The sequence below is a fragment of the Homo sapiens genome, chromosome 4 (assembly GCF_000001405.40).
Source record: "Homo sapiens chromosome 4, GRCh38.p14 Primary Assembly".
NCBI lineage: Eukaryota > Metazoa > Chordata > Mammalia > Primates > Hominidae > Homo > Homo sapiens.
The window spans coordinates 70,646,846-70,673,847 of record NC_000004.12 but is presented as its reverse complement, the minus strand read 5'-3'; the positions used below and the strand labels follow the sequence as shown (position 1 = coordinate 70,673,847).

Genomic DNA, 27,002 nt, shown 5'->3' with positions numbered 1-27,002 from the left:
CCAGCCATGCAAGGCTATGGAAAGTGTTGCAGGCAGAGGGACTAAGACAATACGAAAGCCTTGAGCAGAGTAGCTGGAGAGAGATGAGTGGAAGGGGGAGTTGCAGGAAATCAGGAAGGCTAATGACTCTGAATTTATTCTAAGTGTAATGAGAAGCCACTGGAGGGTTTTAAATCAGATATGATCTGATTTACCTTTGAAAAGATCACTTTTCATGGTAAGTGGACAATGAATTGTGGCAGGTAAGACTAGAGAAGAGTTTGGAACAGTGAACAGTTTAATGAGTTATAACATGAAACCATATTTTCGTCCAATTATTGCCTCTCAATTACTATAATTGAATTTTTCTTTGCCTTTTTGACAATGTTTTAAGAAGATTCCGTAATTTAAAAATATTTTTTCATTATTAAAAAATCTAGTTTATTTGCTGTGATTGTAAAAGTGCCATAAATAGTAAAGCTCATTTTTTAAAAGTCTAGTTCAGTCTAAAAGCTTGTATCTCAAACTCACTCTTAATTTCAAGTCTCCAATGCTAAACAAGATGGAATAACGGTGCAGATTTTCCCTGCCATTTGAACCAACTAGAAAAAACTGACAAAATTTAAGAAACACTGGTTTTCTTTTTATTATTATTATTATTATTATACTTTAAGTTCCAGGGTACATGTGCACAACATGCAGGTTTGTTACATATGTATACATGTGCCATGTTGGTGTGCTGCACCCATTAACTCATCATTTACATTAGGTATATCTCCTAATGCTATCCCTCCCCACTCCCCCCACCCCATGACAGGCCCTGGTGTGTGATATTCCCCATCCTGTGTCCAAGTGTTCTCATTGTTCAATTCCCACCTGTGAGTGAGAACATGCGGAAGAAACACTGGTTTTCAAGACATTAGGCAATGCAGGACAGTGATTTCGGAGAGACTGGAAACAAATAAGGAGACCATTGCCCCATGTTGCCTTGGAGAGAGTTCCCAGGCCATGGCTTCACTGGAGGAATTCTGCCAAACATTTAAGGAAAAATAATACTAATTCTACACAGACTCCTCCAGAAAATTGGAGAGGGGGAAATACTTCTAAACTCATCTTTTCAGGACAGCATTATTGTAGTAACAAAACCATGCAAAGACATTACAAGAAAAGAACATTTTAAATCAATTATCCCTCATGAATATAAAAGCAGAAATTCTAAGCAAAATTTTGGTAAATAAAATTCAAAATTTATGAAAAGGATGTTATATCATAACTAAGTGGGGTTTATTCTAGGAATGTAAGGTTAGTTTAACATTTAAAAATAAATGTAATTCACCATATTAAACAAAAAAAGGAAAACCATATGGTTATCTCAATAGACAGAGAAAAAATATTTGACAAATATTCAATGTTCACTTCTGATAAAAACTCACAGCAAACCAGGAAGAGAAGGGAACTTCCTCAACTTGGTAAAGGGCACCCAAGAAAAACCTAACATCATACTTAAAAAACTGAATTCTGAAGATGTGAACTTTTTAATAGCTTTACTGAGATGTAACTGACATACAGTGCACTGCACACATTTGAACTGTACAATTTGATCAATTTTGACATGTGTGTACACCTGTGAATTCATTATCACCACTAAGATAATGAACATATTCATCATCTCCAAAAGCTTCCTTATGTCCTTTTATAGACTTATAGTCCCGCCTTCCCTTCTCTCTGTCCCCACCTTCCCAGATAATCACTGATCTGCTGTCACTATGCATTTGTTTGAATTTTCTAGAAAAAAATATAAATATATCCAAATATAGAATCATACACTATGTACTTCTTCTTTTTTTTTTTTTTTTTTTTTTTTTGAGACAGAGTCTTGTTCTGTCGCCCAGGCTGGAGTGCAATGGCGCGACCTCGCTCACTGCAAACTCTGCCTCCCGGGTTCAAGCGATTCTCCTGCCTCCGCCTCCTATGTAGCTGGGATTACAGGCACCCACCACCACACCCGGCTAATTTTTGTATTTTTAGTAGAGACAAGGTTTCACCATGTTGGTCAAGCTGGTCTTGAACTCCTGACCTTGCGTTCTGCCCAGTTTGGCCTCCCAAAGTGCTGGGATTACAGGAGTGAGCCACTGTGCCCAGCCTGTACTTTCTTAAAAAAATTTTTATCTGGCTTCTTTCCCTCAGAATAATTATTTTGAGATTCATCCATATTGTGTCTATTAATAGCTTATTCATTTTTATTATTGAGTAATGGATATACCACAATTTGTTTATCCAATTTGTTTTTGGACATTTAGACTGCTTCCAGCTTTAGGCTATTACAAATAAAGCTAACATATCTTCCAAGTGAACTTCCTCCTCACCCATCCTAAGTTGGAAACTTTGGACATTTTCATTTATACTTTATATAGCATGATCATGTATCATTTTTGATATTCCTGCACATCCACAACCCAAGGGGCCATGTCAGGTTCTCCCAGGAATGCTTTCCCCAAACTTCATTGCAGTTGGTAGCTGCATTTTCTGCAACTCCACAAGGAGTTAAGACATAATGATGACGACGATGATAATAATAAGTAACTAGTACTTACATAACACTTATTGTGTGCCAAGATCTAACTTCTTCACATGATGTAATAGATGTAATAAATATTAACCTGACAACAATCCTGTGAAGCATATATTGTTATTTCCCCCTTTTACAGATAGAGGAAATTAAGAGAGATTAAGTGATTTGTTCAAGGTTTGTCCAGTGTTACCTAGCTAGAGAGTGGTGGAATTGGGGGATAAACCCAATCAGTCAGGTTCAGAGCCCTTTCTCTTAACTATTATGCTATATTGCTTCTCAATCTCCCCTGCTTTTAGGGTCCCTGATCTCTTGGGTGATTTTCTTGAAACTCTCCCTCACTTGAATCTGGGGAGAGGAAGGTGCCCCACCTTTACTCTCTACTCTCCCAAGGGTGAAGCGAGGTGGGATATGTGTGTGGGAGTCTCTTATTACAAACACTATGATTTCAACAAGGTAACAGCTGCTCTTATAACATCCCCCCTCTTCCCTCCCTAGTCTTCTAAAGATGAGATGGGAGTGTATGGGAGCGGTGGAGTGGTGGTTGATGGAAGTAGATTGAGTTTTGTTGCCTCTTTTTAGAAAAAAATTGTATGTGTACATAATAGTTATACATTGAAAACTACTGTTATCTTCCTTAGCCTTGCCTTCAATTCCTGGCCTCAAGCGATCCTCCTGCCTTAGCCTCCTGAGTAGCTGGGACTACAGGCATGCACCACTGTGTCTGGCTTCGTTGCCTCTTAACAAACCTTGGAGGAAATATTTGGCTTGCTTTAGATTTGTGGTACTTAGTCATTCTTGTTTATGATCTGTGTGCCTTAGTCACCAATGCTGAGGGAAAGGAAAAGTTACTTTTTAATTATAGAAGCTATTATGGTAGTCCAGGAAAGAGGATGGAGGCTTGGACTAGGTTGGTAGTGAAAACGGAGAGAATCAGATGAATTTGGGATATGTTTTGGAGAGAAAGCCGACAGGTCATGCTGGTAAATTGGATGTAGGGGAGAGGAAAAGAAAGGAAGCAAAGAAGAGGATTTTGGCTTGAGTAACTGATGGAGGTGTCATTTACTGAGATGGGGGAAAACTTGAGACAGAAAGAGATTGGTATGTGAGTGTGAGGATGGATTGGTCATCAAGAATACCGTTTTACCTGGTTAAGTTTAGATACCCATTTAGATAGCTACATGGAGATATAAAATAAAAAGTTGGACATAGGCATTCAGAACTCAATGGGCAAGGTAAAAGTTAAAGTTATACATTTGAGAGTCCTCAGTGTGCCCTATGTTTAAAGGCATGGAATAAGGTAAAATTAATTAAGGAGAGGCTAAGAGAATAGAAAAGATGAGGATTAAGCCTTGATGTCCTCAATATTCAGAGGAAAATTTGGCAAGAGACCCAGAAGGAGTCACCAGTGAGACAGGAGGAAAACAGGGAGTTACATTCTCTGTGTCCCATGAGAATAAAATCTTGTCACAATTTGAATATCCCAAAATATAATGAGTTGTGTCCACAGGGAGTGGAGCATCCAACTATTTCGGATGATTTTCAACTAAATGCTGAATTCGGTTATATAGAATATTGAAAAAAAATTGAGAGTCATGAAGGTGAGACTAAATTACCTTTAAGATCTCTTTCATCTAGCTGAGTCTATCACTGAATCTCTTACTACACAAATCTTAAATGTGAGTATAGAAAAATAAGCCTCTTTTTTTGCTGAGAATTTAGAACACATGGCTAAGTTCTCAATCACTTAACACACATGTAAAGGGTTCTACTATTCACATTTGACATTTTTTTAGTGGCAAAAACATAACTAAAACTGGCAAAGAAGTGGTTTAAAAATTAAACTGGAACTTGTATTTGTATATAGTAGGTTAATGATAAAAAGAATATGCAACAGCTTACCTATAGTGAATTATAAGCAAATACAAACTTCAGCTAACTTTTCAGTATGGCTATTTATTTAAAAATTACCTTTATTAATCTTTTGTTCTTCCATAAATAGTTATTGCTGCTAGTTATTCTGCACTCCCTTACTTCCTGCCCTAGGCCAGTCTTTTTTTCCATTAGTTTTCAAACTTCAGTGCACATCAGAATCAACTGGGATGCTTTTTGAAAATACATATTCCAAGGTCACATCTCCAGAAATTCTGAGTGTTACCAAGAAATCCATATTTTAACCAGTACTACAAGTGGTTCTAGTCAGATGATCCCTAGAGCACACAAGGCAAAACACTAGTCCAGATCCTATGTTGCCAGCATAGGTAATTCTCTTCTAATGACAAATGTGTCACACTTTATTTTTATTAACGCAATTTATTTTAGATTTATAGTTTACATAATCGAAATATAAAAATGCAAGATTGGCCAGGCGCAGTGGCTCACGCCTGTAATCCCAGTACTTTGGGAGGCCGAGGCAGGCAGATTACCTGAGGTTAGGAGTTCCAGACCAGCGTGAACAACATGGAGAAACCCCGTCTCTACTAAAGATACAATACTAGCTGGGCATGGTGGCACATGCCTATAATCCCAGCTATTCAGGAGGCTGAGACAGGAGAATTGCTTGAACCTGGGAGGTGGAGGTTGCAGTGAGCCGAGATGGCACCATTGCACTCCAGCCTGGGCAACAAGAGCAAAACTCCATCTCAAAAAAAAAAAAAAAAGCAAGATTGGAAGAATGAAAATATCAAATATAGAGCTTTTCTTTAGGTTAGTAATTATGAGTTAAATAATCTTTGCTGTTATAAAAAAGGAAACTTTTGGAGAAGTTTTAATTTGTTCCCAAGGATTTACTCAACTTGCTTTGGGAAGGCAGTCTAGCCTTGAGTTTATTTTTCAAGAATTAAAAAGGTATCCAGCTGACTATTAATTACTATTTTTTTTTGAGTGATTGAATAAGTCAGTTATTTAGAAACTTCAGTTGGGGGTGAGGATCTTTTAGAGTGGTTGATAGTTGTTTTGACCTCCTGACCACAAACTAAAATAATGTGCTTTCAGGTCTGTTTCTTTTTTTAATAAACTGTCCATGTGATGCCAGTATATTTTCCCTAAACTCAAGTAGTTGCTAAGTCCTACTGATAGTAGAAATTAAAATAGGAATAAACTTGGACAGTATAGTAATATTGCGTATGACAGTGCCTGACACTTTGTTCTTACAGACTTTCAATACATACTCTGAAGAAGTGCAATCATGTGCTAGCCTTTAATGTCTCTTTCATCCTGTCATTTCGTATTTCTAGCTTTGAAGTCTGCTTGCCTTACTTATGATTCTGAAGTACTCCTAATTACCTCTTAAAATTCTAGGAGTCCCTTCAAAAATTAGAGCTGAGAACCAGAAGTAACACGGATTTGATGCTGTTGTGTAACCAGCATATTCTTGGAACCAACCTTGCCTAAGAGACAGGAAATTCCAGCATGTTGGAGTGGGAGTGCAGGGGGTGCTCTGTCCAAAAGCTCAGTTAAAAAAAATGACATTAATTAAGTGAAAAAAATTTTACACAAAATACTGCAGTGATTCAGTTTGCTTTTGAGGCATCTCAAAAATCATCTTATGGGTTTGCAATTCTGAAAGGTGTAACTAGACAGAAGGTCCGTCTTAATGCTATCAAATTAAAATATGGCAACTTATTTATCTGGTATATACCCGCTTCTTTTTTTTTTTTTTTTTTTTTCGAGATAGAGTCTCCCTCTGTCACCCAGGCTAGAGTGCAGTGGTGCCATCTCGGCTTACTGCAGCCTCTTGCATCCAAGATTCAAGCGATTCTCCTGCCCCAGCCTCCCGCATAGCTGGGATTACAGGCCCTCACCATGTCCAGCTCATTTTTGTATTTTTAGTAGAGACGGGGTTTCACCATGTTGGCCAGGCTGGTCTTGAATTCCTGACCCCAAGTGATCCACCTGCCTCGGCCTCCCAGAGTGCAGGGTTTACAGGTGTGAGGCACTGCGCCCAGCCAAGTATCTACCAGCTTCTAATTCCAATTCCATGTTTGAGCTTATAAAATAACTGAAAGTAATCAAAATATATTTTGTAAGATATATACAAAATACAGATTTTGTGAGATATATACAAAATACAGATTTTGTGAGATATATACAAAATACAGATTTTGTGAGATATATACAAAATACAGATTTTGTGAGATATATACAAAATACAGATTTTGTGAGATATATACAAAATACAGATTTTGTGAGATATATACAAAATACAGATTTTGTGAGATATATACAAAATACATATTTTGTGAGATATATACAAAATATATATTTAAATCTGGTAGCTTGGTTAATTAAGGACTAGTATAAAAAATTAACATAAGATACACTTGGGACCTTAAAGGACTTTCATTTCTCTCCCCTTCCTTCATCTCTCCTCCTTCACTTACCTTCATTTATTATTCTAGGCATGACAAGTGTCAGATGTCTGATTTGAAGACTAATATGAATATATCTAGGTAATAAAATGGAAAATCCCTATTTCAACATTCTTAATGGAATCCTTCCTTGAAATTATTATTAGTCTTCTGGTTTAAACATTTATATAGTGTAAATGCAAAATAAAAATGATTGTATCAAATTATGGTTTTTATTTGGATGCTTTGCAAGAAAATACTTAAATGTGAGTCATACATTTTTCCAGTTCAGCATTTAAACTTCAGACTTCAACCACAGTTGTGATTGTTTTTAGTTTGTTAGCTGCCTGGAGTGTTATTTTAAGAAAGCAGAAGCACCATCATTTGCACACTCCTTATAGATCACACACCTTAACCCTGACTTTTTTTGCTCCAGTTTTTCAGAAGAAGTGAAGTCAAGATGAAGAACCATTTGCTTTTCTGGGGAGTCCTGGCGGTTTTTATTAAGGCTGTTCATGTGAAAGGTATGTGATATTTAGAAAATGATCCCAGATCAAAGGAAAAATATAGGACAGATCTGTTTTTCAGTTTTAAACATTTATGCCTATGCTTTGGTTGGCCAGTTAGCCAGCTACTTTTTCCTAACATGCTTTCATCTTTCTATGGCAGTTGTCTTTACATAGATAAGACTCTTTTTATTCTTTTTTCTCTTATCTTACTTACTTGTTTGCCTACTACAAACTAGAGAATAAGAAATTAGCTAACTACAGATAGTCCTGCTTATATGAATGTCCATATTGAATCTTAAAAATCTATAATCCTTCCCTTGAGTCTCTTAAATTAATATTCTGGAGAAATGAAATAATAATTACTGTAAGTACAACATGGAATGCATTGGGATTTTATTTCCCCAAAGAGGCTGGTATTGGTTTTAACAGCTTTCCTGGATCTGATCCCACAGATTTATTATGACCCTTTAACAATGTTTAATGTTATACAGGTTGCCTATAAATTGATGACTGAACTTTTGTTATTTTGTTTACTGATCTTTCAAACAACTTCAGAAAATGGAATACATTCTGAATTTAGAGGTACAGTATTAAATAATTTTCATTTAGAAGGACACACTAAAATTTGTCTGGATTGTTCCTATCACTGAGTCTGTGGTTCTTATTTCAAGATGAATAATGACAGAAATGTGATTAAGAATAGGCCTTATATATATATTTTATACTAATTTAGCATTAAGAATAACTTTCTAATGATTTAAAATATAAAATATTAGTAAAGCATGTACAATGTAAGTATATATACATATCTAAAAATATATGATATATATAATGGGGCTACTTCCCTATAAACCCTATAAAGTTGAAAGTTGAAAATATCATACTTTCAGCTTACAGTGACTTTATAGGGAGGTAGCCCCATTGTAGCTGAGGAGCATACTGAATACATATCACTTTCACAGCATCATAAAGTAGAAAAATCATAAGTAGAACCATGGTAAGTTGGGGACCATCTGTATATAAAACAGCTATCACTTACTGAATATGATATTCTAGGTATCATGCTAATTCCTTTACATATAATATTCCATTTAATTCTCTCAGTAACCATATGAGAATAAATACTATTATTACTTCTGACATACAGTTGAGCCAGTTGAGACTTACAGAGGTGAAGTAACTTACCAAAGTCATACAGCAAGCAAGAGTGTAAGCAGAACCCAGGCAATCTGACCCTATAGCCCGCACTCCTACTATCCTATTCTGCCTTGTGTAAGGCAATCACTTTTTAGTAAACTCATTATGGTCATATCTAGCATATGTTGTTAAATCTATTTTCTTATTTGTTTGAAGTGAATTAAATTTAACAAATATTTATTGAACACCTACTATGTGTCAGATGCTCTTGGAATAAAGTAAGGCACAGTCCCTAATAACAGGTTTGTTAGGAAAAATACTGCCTGTTGGTGAGAGCAAATGCTAGACTCTAAGTCTTGGTGAATTGAAAGTATTTGTAACTTTTCTGACAGCTATGTATTTCTGATAGATATTAGGCTGCCTAATATTTTTCTATATTAACTTCCCAGGTTTCTGGTAAGGAAGTAATCATATGCCGTAATAGAATATAGACATTTTCTATTTAAGACTTAATAGTCAAGTCACTCCTCAACAATCTATATTTTTGGTCAGGCATTATGTGCTCATTTATATTTCATTGAGAAAAAACTTTTAAGAGTCATGGATACACAAGTAGGAAAGAGGACATCATTTAAGTCATTTTACCTCTTTCAGATGTTAATGAGTTATTTCATTACCTTGAATTTACTCCATAATGTTTCTTTCCAATATTACACAGTGTCAGAAGATTCATTAGGAACTTATGAATAATGGTATAATAATGCATTATAAAGTACTTCAAACAATTACAAGTACAATAACAATGGTCTTAAAATGTTTTTGTAGTGGCTCTTATCATTAAGACTGAAATACTGCATTAGGTCCTCTTTGCTCTGGGAATCGTCTCAGGAATAGACTTCCAGTTAAAATTATAACTATTCTGATCATTTAAACTTTATAACTTGAATTCGTATACTAAATGTTTTTTTTTTAGTTGAGGCTTAATGAGAGGAATTGTTAAAGGTCACTTAGCTAAAATTATATGAATAAAGCATATTTAACATCATTGTTGTAATTATTATTATTATTATTATTTTTTGAGATGGAGTCTCGCTCTGTTGCCCAAGCTGGAGTGGAGTGGTGCAGTCTTGGCTCACTGCAACCTCCACCTCCCAGGTTCAAGAGATTCTTCTGCCTCAGCCTCCCGAGTAGCTGGGATTACAGGTGTGTGCCACCATGCCTGGCTAATTTTTGTATTGTTAGTAGAGATGGAGTTTCACCATATTGGCCAGGCTGGTCTGGAACTCCTGAACTCATGATCCACCCGCCTCGGCCTCCCAAAGTGCTGGGATTACAGGCGTGAGCCACTGCACCCGGCCAACATCATTGTTATTATTAATTAGCACTCTTATTTAATAGCATTACTTATGTAAAGCTATTATTGAATTTTTAAAATCTGGTAATTTGCCAGGCGTGGTGGCTCACGCCCATAATCCCAGCACTTTGGGAGGCCGAGGAGGGTGGATCACCTGAGGTCAGGAGTTCGAGACCAGCCTAACCAACATGGTGAAACTCGGTCTCTACTAAAAATACAAAAATTAGCTGGGCATGGTGGCACATGCCTGTAATCCCAGCTACTTGGGAGGTTGAGGCAGGAGAATCACTTGAACCCGGGAGGTGGAGGTTGCAGTGAGCTGAGATCACGCCATTGCACTCCAGCCTGGGCAAGAGTGAAACTCTGTCTCAAAAAATAAAATTAAAATAAAATCTGTTAATTGATCCAAACCCAGATGATACAAAATTTCCTTTGTTTATTCCTTGCAATACTTATCAAGGTCAGGTGCGGTGGCTCTGTAATCCCAGCACTTTGGGAGGCTCGAGGCAGGTGGATCACTTGAGGTCAGGAGTTTAAGACCAGCCTGGGCAACATGGTGAAACTCCATCTCTGCTAAAAAAAAATACAAAGATCTAGCCAGGTGTGATGGTGCACACCTGTAGTCCCAGCTACTTGGGAGGCTGAGGGAGGAAAATCACTTGAACCCAGGAGGCAGAGGTTGCAGTGAGCTGAGATCGTGCCACTGCACTCCAGCCTGGATGACAGAGTGAGACATTCTGGCAAATAAACAAACAACTTATCAGACCTCTTTGTCTAATATTCAGATTAGACAATAAATGTTGACATTCAAAGTTAAGGCTTTAATGGTCATATGTGTATTTATTCATTTATTCATTTTTTTTTCTGTATACAGGCATATTCAATTGAGATTGTACCTCATAATATTTCTAAATTGCTTTTGCAAATTTACAGCACTTTATATCTATATATACTCTATCTTTTAAAATAATTCTTTTTTTCCTTTTTTTTTTGAGATGAAGTCTCACTCTGTTGCCCAAGCTGGAGTGCAGTGGCACGATCTTGGCTCACTGCAACCTCCACCTCCCAGGTTCAAGTGATTCTCCTGCCTCAGACTCTTGAGTAGCTGGGACTACAGGCATGCACCACCATGCCCGGCTAATTTTTGTGTTTTTAGTAGAGATGGGGTTTCACTATGTTGGCCAGGCCGGTCTTGAACTCCTGACCCTGTGATCTGCCCGCCTCGGCCTCCCAAAGTCCTGGGATTACAGGCATGAGCCACTGCGCCCTGCTTAAAATAATTCTTATAAGAAATATAGCCTTTTTTTAAATTGAATCATGTACTATGATAATCTGATTGTTATTATGAAAAGGCAGATAATTGTGGTAGAGAATATTTAAAAGTCTTACAAAATAAGGTTATCTTGGATGAAAACATGCCTGTTCTTAACTATAATACAATTTATACAAAAAAAATTTAAGTACAAATGAGAGTTTAGGAAGGATGCGAAAATCAGAATTCTTTCAACCCAGATTCCCATAGACTGGTTCAAGAAAAAAGTGAAAATCCCTTTTAGAGTACCTTTGGATTTCCTTTACTGTGATGTAAGATTCTGCTTAGAGAACAAATGGAGAAAGCTGAGACAAACCAACCATAAAACTATTTTTCTGCAGGCAAGAAAGATAAAATAACTCAATACAAAATATATAAATTGACCTTTGTTTTCCTTTCTTTTTAATACGTTTACCTTTCAAGCCCAAGAAGATGAAAGGATTGTTCTTGTTGACAACAAATGTAAGTGTGCCCGGATTACTTCCAGGATCATCCGTTCTTCCGAAGATCCTAATGAGGACATTGTGGAGAGAAACATCCGAATTATGTATGTGGCATTCCATATTCCTTTTTTTCCTGTTCTAAGCAGAGATACTTTCTGACACTGAGCATTGTTTGAATGTAACACCTGCCTCTTTACTCCCCTTTTTGCTGTGTAGCACTTTACATGAGTAAAGAATTGAGTCTTATGAATGAGCTTGAGGCAATTTTATTGAAATTAGGGGTAAGAATGAAAGATTACAGCCAATCTAAAATCAGTGGGCTACATCAAATTATAAACAAAGGTTGTAATCTAGTCATCAACATGCACTGTTTATATGGAGTTATTTCTATTCATTTATTTTTGTTTGCTTGTTTTTGAGACAGGGTCTCACTCTGTCACCCAGGCTAGAGTGCAGTGGCAAGATTACTGCTTACTGCAGCCTCGAACTCCCAGGCTCAAGTGATCCTCCTCAGTAGATGGGACTACAGGCATGCACCACCCCACACCTGGATAATTTTTTATTTTTCTTTAGAGACAGGGTCTCACTATGTTGCCCAGGCTGTTCTCGAACTTCTGAGCTCAAGCGATCCTCCTGCCTTGGCCTCCCAGAGTGCTAGGATTACAGGCCTGAACCACCACGCCTGGCCAAGTTATTTCAATTTGAATCAGAACTTTCAGTTGCCTTTGATCAGTTCAAACTGAAACTTCAGATAACACTAAAGCCTTATTTTGTACCATATATAGATAACTGAGTCTTTTATACTGTAACCAGATGTCTGCATCGAGATAAGGCAGACTGATCACATTAATTTGATTTGATCTCACTTTTAGATTGGATTTCAGATATTCATTTCATTTCACACACAGTCCAGAGTTATATGCTATACAGCTCTTTTTCAATAGCAAGAATGCTAATACTATTTGAGAAATTAGATTTCTATTGGATCCAATCAGTTATAAGTTTTCCTTGTAAACCACTCCTACCTTAATAGTTTTTCCCCAATCAAATCTCCTATAGAAAGAGAACAGAGCATTCCATTCCATTCAATCAATGGAAAAAGTATAATGTGTTTAAGAATTTTGTTTTAAGTTCTGTCTGGGACACTTAATAGTTGTGTGTTTTTGTATGCAAGTTACTAATCTACTTTGAACTTCAACTTTTTCATCTTTAAATGAGGAAAAAAATCATGCTTAACTCATAGGATTATTGTAAAAATAAATAGAGAATATTCCTTTTAGAGCTTATATATTTCTGGGACATATTAAAAAATATTTACTATTATTTATTCACCTAATCTATGTGCCAATTATTGTCACCATCCTGCTTAAAAGTCTTGTGATGGTTTCCCCAACATTGACCTTAGGATATATTACAAATGCCTTGGCCTGATCTACAAAGCTTAGCATAACTCTCAAGATCATCCATTGCCACTTTTCTTTTACTTCATGTTTAAAAATTCAGCACTACTGGGGCTGGGCACGGTGGCTCATGCCTGTAATGCCAGCACTTTGGGAGGCCGAGGCGGGTGGATCACCTGAGGTTAGGAGTTTGAGACGAGCCTGGCCAACATGGTGAAACCCCGTCTCTACTAAAAATACAAAAATTATCCGGGCGTGGTGGCAGGTGCCTGTAATCCCAGCTACTCGGGAGGCTGAAGCAGGAGAATCACTTGAACCCGGAAGGCGGAGGTTGCAGTCAGCCAAGATCATGCCATTGCTGCACTCCAGCCTGGGGGACAAGAGCGAGACTTTCTCAAAAAAAAAAAAAAAAAAAAATTCAGCACTGCTGTAGTGTCTCTATTTCCCCACATTCACAGTGCTTTTACATCTGCTAGTTCCTCTGTTTGAAGAACTCTGTCCCACCCCTCTTAGCCTAGTTAACTCCTTCTCAATGTGCATGTCTTAGTTCAGCCATCACTTCCTCTAGGAGGTTTTCTTTGACCACTCAGATCCTGCCCACATAGCTTCGTGTTAGGGATAGAATAGCTGGAGTAGTGGGTAATTGGAAAGAATGGCATACATGACACTGGCACTTAAGCCATGTTGAAGAGTGTCTATCTTACGTTTAAACCTCCAGGAGATTTTTAAAATCTCCTCCATGATCTTCTAATTCATCTTTTTATTTTATGAAATGATTCTTTTTATATTACATTGTTTACTGAAATCAGATAATTCAGATATTTCATGACACTTTGCCTGATGTGTTGATCTTCTGTTCTGATTTCTGAAAGTATATTGCCATTGCTGTGCCATTATGGTATTATTATTATTATTCTTATCATTATTTTGAGATGGAGTCTCCCTCTGTCACCCGGGTTGGAATGCAGTGGTGCGATCTTGGCTTACTGCAACCTCTGCCTCCTGGGTTCAAACAATTCTCCTGCCTCAGCCTCCCCGAGTAGCTGGGACTACAGGCACGCACCACCATGCCCAGCTAGTTTTTTTTTGTATTTTTAGTAGAGATGAGGTTTCACCATGTTGGCCAGGCTAGTCTCGAACACTTGACCTCAGGTGATCTGCCCACCTTGGCCTCCCAAAGTGCTGAGACTGCAGGCATGAGCCACCGTGCCTGGCTTTTTTTTTTTTTTTTTTTTTTTTTTTTTTTGAGACAGAGTCTCACTCTGTTGCCCAGGCTGGAGTGCAGTAGCATGATCTTGGCTCACTGCAACCTCTGCCTCCCAGGTTCAAGCAATTCTTCTGCCTCAGTCTCCCTAGTAGCTGGAACTACATATGCACTCCTCATCGCCTGGCTAATTTTTGTATTTTTAGTAGAGACAAGGTTTCATCATGTTGGCCAAGCTGGGCTTGAACTCCTGACCTCAAGCAATCCACCTGCCTCAGCCTCCCAAAGTGCTGGGATTACAGGCGTGAGCCACCATGCCGAGCCTGCCATTATGGTATTATTCCCAACTCCATTACTTACTAAAATGATGTGACTTTGGGCAAGTTACTTAACTAGCCTTTTTCCTAAACTTTAAAAAAAGGGATAATTATGCATGTATGAATTTATACACATATACTTTATAGGGTTGTGAGGATTAAATACAATAATTCATAAAAGAACAGTGTTTGGCTTATAGTAGCCTCTCCTTTTTCTGATATTACTAGAGTCTTTACAGTCTTATTAAGAATAGTTTCATTCATTCATTCAACGAATGTTTATTTAGTAACTGCCAAATATTAAGGGTTGGTGGTGGGGATAAAACAGTTTATTTAAAATATAGTCCATTTCTTAAAAGAATTTATAGTCTAACAGGAAACCGTAAACAATTAAAACGGCAATTACAATTCTGTATTGTAAGTGCTATGATAGGAATGGGCATGGGTTGTTATAGGAGTACTGAGGAGGGGCACCCAGTCCAATCCTGGGGGAGAGGAGAAGGGTGGCAGTGGGAGGCAGGAAAGGGTGCTTGGAATAAGTGGTGGGATGGATGATGGCTGTTAGCTCAATAGGAGTTTGCTGGCTAAATGTGTGTGGGGAGTGAGAGAATTAATAGGTGGGGCAGGTCATTCCAGGAAAAGGAAACAGGATTGCTGTGACGATTATATGAGATCATCACGTAATATGCTTAGCATAGTACCAGGCACACTGTAACCAGTATTATATGTTAGAACTGTTATTGTTAAGATGGGAGATGAGAAAAGCATGGTACGTTTGTGGAATTGCAAGTGATTGTTTACAGCTGGCATGCATTGTAGATGGTGACATTGTGAGAGATGAAGCTGGAGAGTTAGGGGCATATTAGGATACGTGCCTTCTATGCTATTTGAGGATACCCTGTTATCTGTGGAGAGACACTAGAGGTTTTAAGCAGAGAAGGAAATTAAGCTTGCATTTTTAGAAAGGATGTTTGGCAATAATGTGGCCAGTGGTTTGAAGGGGTCAAGACAAAAGGAAGACATTGTTACAATCTAGGAGAGGATAGTGGTGTCCTGAATTAAGGCAGTAATAATGAGAAGAGAGGCAAGTGGATGGATTTCACACATGAAAATAATTAGAATCAACTGGACTGTGAGATTGATTAGATATGTGACAGGGGAGGATTCAGGTATGATAGCCAGGTTTTTGGCTTGGATGGTATTTATAAATACTGAGTTAGGAAACACAAGGTTTTTGTTGTTCCTTTTGGTAGGGAGGGCTGCACATGAGAAGGAATGATGACTTAGATGAAAAAAATGTTAAAGTTAATGAAATCACCTGAACTCGTTGACAATCATCTAATTTTTCATGGGACATCACGATGAAAAAGTTCCAGCTTTGCTACTTAATTGTTGTGTGAACTTGGGTGGATCACTAACCTCTCCTATTTATGATTTCCTCTCCTCTAAAATCTGGATAATAATATCTGTCTGTCCATTTCACATATATTGAACATATTCCATATGCCACATACCTAGCTAGGCACTGGGAATACATAAATGTTTTTGCCTCAAGGAACTTACATAGCCCAGGGAAGCAACCACTCTGTAGACAAGCAACTATGATACGGCATTTGATATAATAAATATATATGAGCATTAATGAGACTGCAGAGGAAGAAGTTTGTTGAAGGGTGGGGATAACATCAATATAATTATTACAGAGGTAAAACGTGAGTTGAGTTTTAAAGGAAAAGCAAAAATTTGCCAAGTCAGCAAAGATAGTTGACAGCGGAGTTGTTGTGAGGTTTATTTTGAATGAGAAATATTTAAAATATAGCAAGTTACTATAAAAATCTGAGTAACGGTATTACTCTAGAGTGCTTATAGAGTACTAAATACAATAAGTACTGTTCTGATGAAATAGTGGCCGTATACTCATTACCAAAAATAACAATATCTGCATTTCATTGTTTTAACTTTGTTTTCTTTCTTTTCTTTTAGTGTTCCTCTGAACAACAGGGAGAATATCTCTGATCCCACCTCACCATTGAGAACCAGATTTGTGTACCATTTGTCTGACCTGTAAGATATATTTTTTTCCATAGTAATATAGATGTGGAAGTTAATAGCTTTTAATTTTAACCTTGTTAGTAAGAATGTTTTTAAAAATATGTTGGAGTATAAACATTTACAAACATAATCTGAACTTTTGAATACATTAATTCCTATGTTAATTATTAGGTATCATAAATTCATAAAACTTTGTCACAGATAAAATTTAGCTATACATTTTTTCTAAAGAAAAAATCATTGGCATTCATAGAAAGGCCAATTTCTCTTAATAGTTCAATAAGTGGATTTGATCTTATAAAAAGGCAGGTGTTTCTTTGGAAATGACAGACTCCAACATCAATTTTTTTAAAAATTCTCCCTTTCTTGTCACTATAAATAACTTGTTTAGACAGATATACAGTTGGGAATAAGCCTAACACAGTAGAAATTGCTGTATGGTGTAGATAAAACAATCATATTATCATATCATTAATTATATTGCTTACTTTCAACTAATATATATTAAAGATTGGAAAATCCCATAAGCTATTCTGTATTGTAGAGCTGCTTATGTCTGAAAGGAGTCATCCCTTGCTGTCATGTCAGAGCTGCAAGAACTAATTGATTTTGGATTGAAATGTGTAGTCACATTTTGAGACAGCATTTGAGGGGATTGTCTAATACATATATTTGCTTTTCAGCTGTAAAAAATGTGATCCTACAGAAGTGGAGCTGGATAATCAGATAGTTACTGCTACCCAGAGCAATATCTGTGATGAAGACAGTGCTACAGAGACCTGCTACACTTATGACAGAAACAAGTGCTACACAGCTGTGGTCCCACTCGTATATGGTGGTGAGACCAAAATGGTGGAAACAGCCTTAACCCCAGATGCCTGCTATCCTGACTAATTTAAGTCATTGCTGACTGCATAGCTCTTTTTCTTGAGAGGCTCTCCATTTTGATTCAGAAAGTTAGCATATTTATTACCAATGAATTTGAAACCAGGGCTTTTTTTTTTTTTTGGGTGATGTAAAACCAACTCCCTGCCACCAAAATAATTAAAATAGTCACATTGTTATCTTTATTAGGTAATCACTTCTTAATTATATGTTCATACTCTAAGTATCAAAATCTTCCAATTATCATGCTCACCTGAAAGAGGTATGCTCTCTTAGGAATACAGTTTCTAGCATTAAACAAATAAACAAGGGGAGAAAATAAAACTCAAGGACTGAAAATCAGGAGGTGTAATAAAATGTTCCTCGCATTCCCCCCCGCTTTTTTTTTTTTTTTTGACTTTGCCTTGGAGAGCCAGAGCTTCCGCATTTTCTTTACTATTCTTTTTAAAAAAAGTTTCACTGTGTAGAGAACATATATGCATAAACATAGGTCAATTATATGTCTCCATTAGAAAAATAATAATTGGAAAACATGTTCTAGAACTAGTTACAAAAATAATTTAAGGTGAAATCTCTAATATTTATAAAAGTAGCAAAATAAATGCATAATTAAAATATATTTGGACATAACAGACTTGGAAGCAGATGATACAGACTTCTTTTTTTCATAATCAGGTTAGTGTAAGAAATTGCCATTTGAAACAATCCATTTTGTAACTGAACCTTATGAAATATATGTATTTCATGGTACGTATTCTCTAGCACAGTCTGAGCAATTAAATAGATTCATAAGCATATACCTGTGTGAAATAATTTGTTGGAAAAAAGTTTCCTTATGTTAACTTTCTTTACGTAAGTTAACTTGTTATTGATGAATGGTTTGTAAGTATGATGTAATGAAGCATTAATCACAGAACTAATACATGTACATATTTGAGGTGGCTTTGCCATTTTATACCCATAATTAAATAAAAGGGCAAAATCCCCCCTGATAAATACCATGTTTATCATGGCACATAAAACTTTATGGCAGAAAGCCAAGGCCAATTGACATATATATTTAAAGGTACCATGGAAAGTAAATGCTAACTCTGAATTTAAAACAGTGGGAAGATGATTAGTAAGAGTTGGTTTCTTGAAAAGGAATTGTTCTGGTAATAGTCATCTTTAATGACTTCCACGGATTATTCAGTGTTTCTTTAGGGATATGCATAGGACACTGGTGCTTCAGTAGAAACCCCAGTTTTGGTGTATTAAAGATACATCCATTCTTGACTGATCTTTAATCTAGAGTGTGGTTTTAGCCAAGTCTTTGAATCTCATTTAGTCAGTAAACATTTATTAAATATTAACCAAATGCACAGGATTGGTCTGTGGTGGTGAAGTTATGGTGAGCGCCCTTGAGAAAGTCACTATCACTGCTCGCTCCCCAGAACTGTGCCTAGGTGTCATCTTCTCTGTGAGAACCACCCTGACTACTTTTTAAATATCTCAAACCCCATTTCTTTATCTTAGTCTACTTCCCCCCAAGTACTTATCTCCCTCTAGCAGACTAGGTAATTTACTTACGTGTCATGTTTATGGTCTGTCTCCCCTCACTAGAGTGTAATCTCCACGAAGGCACGCACTTTTGCCCATTGATGTTTCCTCACCATCTGGAACAGTGTCTGGCACATGGAAGTACTCAATACATATTTGTTGAATGAATGAACATGAGTGTAGCTTAGTTGAAGAGATAAGACATACACATAAATAATTATTATTTGGCAGAGCCTGCTGAAGGCAAAGAAATAGCTTCCAAAGTGCTATGAGAATTCATGAGAGACTGCTTCTGAAGAGACCGCTTACTTTCTCCTCATCTTTGCCTTAGTTTCTCGGTGTACCCAGTAGAAGAAGTTTTGTAGATCCACATTGCAGATCCTTATAGGAAAGACCCCTATTCCAGCATTATTACCTCATTAAATGCTAGCTGGAAGAAGACTGCAATTCGTAGTCCCACAAGTCTTCCTTCTTTCAGAAGTTCAGTTAAACTCTGATACTACCATACTAGTAACAATTTAGTACTTACTATGTGCTAGGTACCAATGTAAGTGCTTTATATATATTAACTCATTCAATATAAATCTGGAGTAGCTGGTGACTCTTAAATGAGAGTTATTGAGGATAGATTAAAGCCTTTCTTTAAGTTGTATTCAAACATTTGCTGGTATTAGTGGAACATTTAGAGGGGCACACTAAGGAATCAATGTAAGATGTGGTGGCCATGAAAGGAGCCTCTCAGTTCTCTGCAAAGAATGTAATTGACCTATAGTTCTGAGATCCACTGTGTTTGTGCAAGGGACACTAAGACAGGTCAGTTCCCGGGAGACACAGGACTCTTCTGATGGGGCACTGACTTGGGGACTCCTTTTTATCTTTGCTGAAAATTTCTTAGCACTGCACCTCCAGACATTATCTGTCCAATCATCCTTCCTATCCTCTTTGCTCCACATGGGTAAGACCTGCATCAGGATCCGAAGACTCAGCCTTCTTCGGCTCCCTTCCCATTATCCCTCACAGATGTTTTCCTAATAAATCTCTTGCACCCACTAATCTCATCTTGCAATTCTGCAGGGTCCAAATTAACACAATACTGATTATGATCTATCTGATTTAGTGATGATAACGATGATAGCATTCTTCAAGTACCAAATGATTTATCTATGTCATCTCATTTTATCCTTACAATAACTTTTTGGGTATTTCATATTATAAATGAGAAAACCAACTAAGTGGATAATTAGCCATTTGAGTGGTTCACTTATCTAGTAAATGGCAATGAAAAGTCTGAATCACTCTGCTATAGTCTTAACAAACATCAATTGAGGCTCTTAGAGAATCACTATGTCCACTGTAACATTTTCTTAAACCTCATGTGATATTTTGAGGTTAATGTGACCAATTCATTGACCTGTCATAAGTCTATTATAAGTTTTGCACCTTTTGCCCCCCCTTTTTAATTTGAATTAAATGGATGACATTTTAAAAAGACAGGCATAAATAGGTACAATTGGTGAGAAATGTTTTTCTTCTGCATAGTTCTTGACAAGTTAGCCATTTGCTCAGGTAAGCACACTCAGCAGCAGCCAGATGAAAATTATATTAATCAGCAATAAGAATAAAGCCCTTTAATGGGATTTCCAGGTCTTGGCTTTGGGGTAGCAGTATAGTCTAGTGGATAAATCCATGGTCTATATTGAAATACATACTGTAACATTGGCCAAGTTAATTCAAAGATTGCTTCCTCATTTGAAAAATGGGAGCAAAAATAACTACATTGATTTTTATAAAAATAAGGATGCATGCTGTGTCTGCATATCACTTATTACCACTGTGGTAGCAATTAGCAACAATCCATAATTTACAGTTGTTATTATGTGTTAATTTTCTTTGGCTCTTCTCCCTGCCTAAACAACAAATAAGAAAAGAATGTAAATATATGTGAATATATATTGGGTCAGTGATTTTCTGGGTTTTTTTTTTTTTTTTTTTTTTCAGACGGAGTTTTGCTCTCGTTTCCCAGGCTGAAGTGCAATGGTGCAATCTTGGCTTGCCGCAACCTCTGCCTCCTGGGTTCAAACGATTCCCCTGCCTCAGCCTCCCAAGTAGCTGGGATTTCAGGCATGCGCCACAACGCCTGGCTAATTTTTTGTATTTTTAGTAGAAGACTGGGTTTCTCCATGTTGGTCAGGCTGGTCTCAAACTCCCGACCTCAAGTGATCTGCCTGCCTTGGCCTCCCAAAGTGCTGGGATTACAGGCATGAGCCACTGCGCCCGGCAGGATCAGTGATTTTTCAAACTTTAGAGTGTATGAGAATTACCTGGAGGACTCATTAAAGTAGATTGCTGAGCTCCACCTCAGAGATACTGATCAAGTAGCTCAGAGATGCAGCTGGAGACATTGCAGGTCCCACAAATTCCCCAGGTGCTACTGAGGCTGGAAATTACAGGAGAGCCACTACTTTATAATTATAAACCTCCACTTCCATCTAGTGGTTGAGTTACAAAATACAATGAATGTACGTTTTTAACACGCGTTGTTTCATTTAATTCTCCTAACATTGCATAAAACAAGTACTGTTTTCACTTTACAAATGGTAAAACTGAGCTGTGAGGGTGATGAAGTAACCTGCCTAATGTTTTTCAGGTATTTGGAGAACTGATGATTAGCTCCAAGGCTGTCAGACTCCAAAGCCAAAGCTCTCAGTCAGTATGTTATTCTGTCTAAACATCCTTCAAACCATCTTCCTCGGTAATTCCACTTCTGAGGAAATAACCAGAAATACAGACAAAGAGAGATAGAGATATCTATTACAATGTGATTTATAATAGTGAAAATTCATAGGAAACTTTAAGTCCATCATCAAGGGAATGGTAATATAGGTATACTTCAAAATATTTTACATACAACTGAAGTGAAACATCATGTGTTTTAAAATTTATGGAAATTGATATACAAAGTGAAGAGGAAAATGTAGGATTTTGCATAAAGGAGTGACTTTAAGAAAATTCCAGGCTGGATGTGGTGGCTCTCGCCTGTAATCCCAGCACTTTGGGAGGCCGAGGCGGGCGGATCACAAGGTCAGGAGATAGAGATCATCCCGGCTAACACGGTGAAATCCCATCTCTACTAAAAATACAAAAAAATAGCCGGGCGTGATGGCCGGCGCCTGTAGTCCCAGCTACTCGGGAGGCTGAGGCAGGAGAATGGCCAGAACCCCGGAGGCGGAGCTTGCAGTGAGCCGAGATTGTGCCACTGCACTCCAGCCTGGGCGACAGAGAGAGACTCCCTCTCAAAAAAGAAAAAAAAAAAGAAAATTCCCTACACATACATGGGAAAAGACTTGAGGGAAATAGGCCAAAATGTTATTTTTTTGTTTCCTTTTACTTTTTAGTATAGAATGTTCCAAATATTCTACAAAGACTGTATATTTTATAATTAGAAAAGTGTTAATCATTATTAAACTTTTAATATTAGTTAATACATTAATATTAATTTTGGTGAAATTCTAAATATTTATTCATTTGCATAAGATAAAGAGAGTGGTGTTTACTTAGAATCTACTCTGTACTCAGCACAGTGCTATGAGGGCCACATAAGAAGAAGAACTGGGTCTCACTTTTTCAGTTTTCCTATTTCTTCTATAGGCAAAACTAACACAGGAAAAAATTAGCACACAGTATAAGACACAGTTGTGATTAAATATTAAAGATCGGCTGGGCATGGTGGCTTACAACTGTAATCCCAGCACATGGGGAGGTTGAGGTGGGTGGATCACTTGAGGCCAGGAGTTCAAGAACAGCCTGGCCAACATGACGAAACCCCTGCTCTACTAAAAATACAAAAATTAGCTGGGTGTAGTGGCCCACGTCTGTAATCCCAGCTACTCAGGAGGCTGAGGCATGAGAATTGCTTGAACTAGGGAGGCAGAAGTTGCAGTGAGCTAAGATCGCATCACTGCACTCCAGCCTGGGCAACAAAGCAAGACTGTCTCAAATAAATAAATAAATAAATAAATAAATATTAAAGATCATGTACTGTGAGCCTTCAGGGAAGCTGGGTTGTTAGGACTGGGGTAATCTTGGAGGAGATGTTAACTGAATGGGGCCTTTCCTGATGGAGAATAGAACCTTCTAGAACTACACGAGCCAAGCAGTGAAAGAGGAAGAAGCATAACACAAATGTCAGAATAGAGACAGGATCAGCCTGCTCCTGTTTCTCTTTCTGTCTTGAATCTTTCACTTATATGCTTAATTTATACACATCCCCTCAAATTGGTGATAGTTTTTTCATTGGTCAAGACCTTTCTGTTCCTTCCCTGGTGAGTGTGAAGTTGCCACTTATTTAGAGGGAGCAGCCTACCACTTTGCCACCCTTACCACTTTGCCACTTTGTCCACCGATTGGTTGAATCACTACCACCTGGGAGCATGTTAATACCACAGAATGGTGGGCTCTGCTCCAGAGCCTCTGAATCAACATCTGCATTTTAACACAGTTCACAATCATATACACATTAAAACTGGAATAATGCTAGCATGGCATGCAACACTGTCAGAAAACAGCCTGAATCCAGAGGCAGCTGCCAATGTGGTTTAACAGATGAGGAATGGGACTGACAAGGTCTTCTCTGAACAAAATTTTGTTTTCTTTTTCTTTTTCTTTCTTTCTTTTTTTTTTTTTTTTGAAATGGAGTCTCACTCTGTCGCCCAGGCTGGAGTGCAATGGCGTGATCTTGGCTCACTGCAATCTCTGCCTCCCGGGTTCAAGTGATTCTCCTGCCTCAGCCTCCCAAGTAGCTGGGATTACAGGGGCCGGCCACCATACCTGGCTAATTTTTTAGTATTTTTAGTAGAGACGGGGTTTCACCATGTTGGCCAGGCTCGTCTCCAACTCCTGACCTCAGGTGATCCACCCGCCTCGGCCTCCCAAAGTGCTGGGATTACACGAGTGAGCCACTGCACCCAGCTGAGAAAAAAATATTTTTACTGAGTTAAACCACAGCAAATACTGTAATATTTTCTTAAAGCTAATGTGGCATTTTGAGGTTAGTGCGACCAATTCATTAACCTGTCATAAGTCTATTATAATGCTTGCACTTTTTGCCCTCTCTTTTTAATTTGAATTAAATGGGTGACATTTTTAAAAGGCAGGCATAAATAAGTACCATTGGTGAGAAATGTTTTCCTTCTGCGCAGTTCTTGACAAGTTAGCCATTTGCCCAAGTAAGCATACTTAGCATCAGCCAGATAAAGATTATATTAATTAGCAATAAGAGTAAAGCTGGCGGCCGGGTGCGGTGGCTCACGCCTGTAATCCCAGCACTTTGGGAGGCCTAGATGGGTCGATCGCCTGAGGTCGGGAGTTGGAGACCAGCCTGACCAACATGGAGAAACTCTGTCTTTACTAAAAATACAAAATTAGTTGGGTGTGTTGGCCCATGCCTGTAATCCCAGCTACTCGAGAGGCTGAGGCAGGAGAATCCCTTGAACCCGGGAAGCAGAGGTTGCGGTGAGCTGAGATCCCGCCACTGCACTCCAGCCTGGGCATCAAGAGCGAAACTCCGTCTCAAAAACAAAACGAAACAAACAAACAAACAAAAAAGAGTAAAGTCGGCCAGTCGCGGTGGCTCATACCTGTAATCCCAGCACTTTGGGGGGCTGAGGCGGGCGGATCACGTGGTCAAGAGATCGAGACCCTCCTGGCCAACATGGTGAAACCCCCTCTCTACTAAAAATACAAAAATTAGCTGGGTGTGGTGGTGCGTGTAGTCCCAGCTACTTGGGAGGCTGAGGCAGGAGAATCGCCTGAATCCAGGAGGTGGAGGTTGCAATTAGCCCAGATCGTGCCACTGCACTCCAGCCTGTCTCAAAAAAAGAAAAAAAAAAAAAAAAAAGAGAGAGTAAAGCCAACCAAGCACATTCCGCATCAGCCAGATAAAAATTATATTCATCAGCAATAGGAGTAAAGCTTTATATAGTGCAGAAAGGAATGAGATAAGGTTATTTGGGTAAGCTCAGAGGTAATTACTGGTCAAGCTCTGATGAGGCACAGAAACGGAAGTTGCTGGGTGCTCAGGTGGATGAAATGGGGGCATCATGAGAGCACAGGACCTTGCCTGGGATGTGAAGGGATCCTGAGAATAGCTTTATCTATTTCACAATTATATCTTTGTCAAATTACAGATCAGCTTCCTCTTCGCCTCTTCATTTGAAAATTTTTCCTCTGCCAGCATGGAATTTTGCTTGTTACCAGTTGAATCCTATTTCTAAATCTAATTGACTGTAAATTCAAAGCAAGAAGAAAAGTTTCAGTGGCTGATGTTATTGGACTAGGGGTGAGGTGGAGTCACATGGAAGCGCATGTGGACAAAACCTAATGCTATATTTTATTGTGAAATGGTGAACGTCTATTTTCCATCGAGTGAAGTTTTCTTCCAACTTTTGATTGGGCAGTTGGGACAGAGCTGTTGATTTTTTAAGTCCAACGTTTCTGGTTTCTTTTTTAGTTATTAGAAATGAAGTTTGGTTTCCTGAGGTCAAGATGAATCTTTTTCAGTTTCCTTAAGGTCATGATTGAAGGCGACTGGGGTAAATGAGGGAAGAGGAAACGAGTGGTCAGAGATACGTCTGAGTAATGTTAATAATACAAATAACTCAAAGGTCATTACTTCTGCGTTTTCTTTAAAGGTGTATAAAGTTAAGATGCTGATGTGAGTGACCGAAGTGAAACATGTTATCTACATGTTTAGGTGCTCCAAAAAGTCAGAGAAGACTCTCCATGCTAATGGCTACTAGGCTGTTTACGGAGGTCTGGCTTGGCTCTACATTTTGTCATCTTACTTTGCTTCCTGTGTCAGGTGAGGAAATGCAAGATTTCCCCCAGGCACCTGGATTAATGCCCAACCATCCTCTAGAGAAGTTTACTGTAGGCTGTGCATATAAAGCAGATGAGTGTCAACCTTGCTGGATTATCTCTTGTGTTTATAATCCTCACATTTTTTTCTTCTTCTTTACCTTATCAACTAAAGACATCATAGACTATATCCAGCTAGTTTAGAATCAGCAGATGACCACTAGATGTAGGAACTCATCACAGAAGTGTAGTAGTAGCGGTAGGGTTCAGATGCTAAGACAAGAGGGTTACTTTTAGAGCCTCCGATATCCACCGCGTGCACCTTAACTTTAGAGCAGACTTTAAAAGCTTTATCAATAACTTAGCAAGAGCATACAGAATAATTGATTTCTTTACTGTAAGGAACTCATATCTGGTATCCAGGTTTGCAAATGCATACCTGTGCTGATGACATCAAGAGTTTTCTGGGCCGGCCACAGTGCTCACGCCTATAATCCCAGCACTTTGGGAGGCGGAGGTGGATGGATCACTTGAGGTCAGGAGTTCGAGACCAGCCTGACCAACATGGTGAAACCCTGTCTCTATTAAAAATGCAAGAATTAGCCATGCCTGGTGGCACACATTTGTAATCTCAGCTGCTTGGGAGGCTGAGGCACGAGAATTGTTTCAACTTGGGAGGTGGAGGTTGCAGTGAGCTGAGATGGTGCCACTGCACTCCAGTGTGGGCAATAGGGCAAGACTCTGTCTCAAAACAAAAACCAAAAAAAAAAAAAAAAAAAAAAGAAAACAGTTATTTTCTGGAGAGACATTTTCCCTTCTTTTCACTGTGTGTTTTCAAATTCAAAATATGTGTTCCTTTGGTCACACTATACATTTTTAGAAAAAATATTTACTTATGCTCAAGACAGTTTGGAAGTGTCACACTGTACTTTTTACATTTTACATTGCAGCGATCTCAGATGGTAGTTTAAGTAGCAGTGTCTTATAAATTCAGATATGTCAACATATCTGCCAAAACAATTATGTGAACCCATGCATTTTGGTGAAATGTGAAGTGAGTATCTTGTAATGAAAGTACTCATATTGAGATTTCAAAAA

General features: G+C 38.1%; 1 protein-coding gene across 1 annotated transcript; it reads left to right on the top strand.

Annotated features, from left to right (window-relative positions):
• Positions 1 to 7,339: 7,339 nt before the first annotated feature.
• JCHAIN (joining chain of multimeric IgA and IgM) lies at positions 7,340 to 18,307 on the top strand. Its single transcript, NM_144646.4, has 4 exons — positions 7,340 to 7,421; positions 11,633 to 11,756; positions 16,557 to 16,637; positions 17,309 to 18,307. The coding sequence occupies exons 1-4, from the start codon at positions 7,358 to 7,360 to the stop codon at positions 17,517 to 17,519; spliced, it is 480 nt and encodes a 159-aa protein (NP_653247.1). The 5' UTR covers positions 7,340 to 7,357; the 3' UTR covers positions 17,520 to 18,307.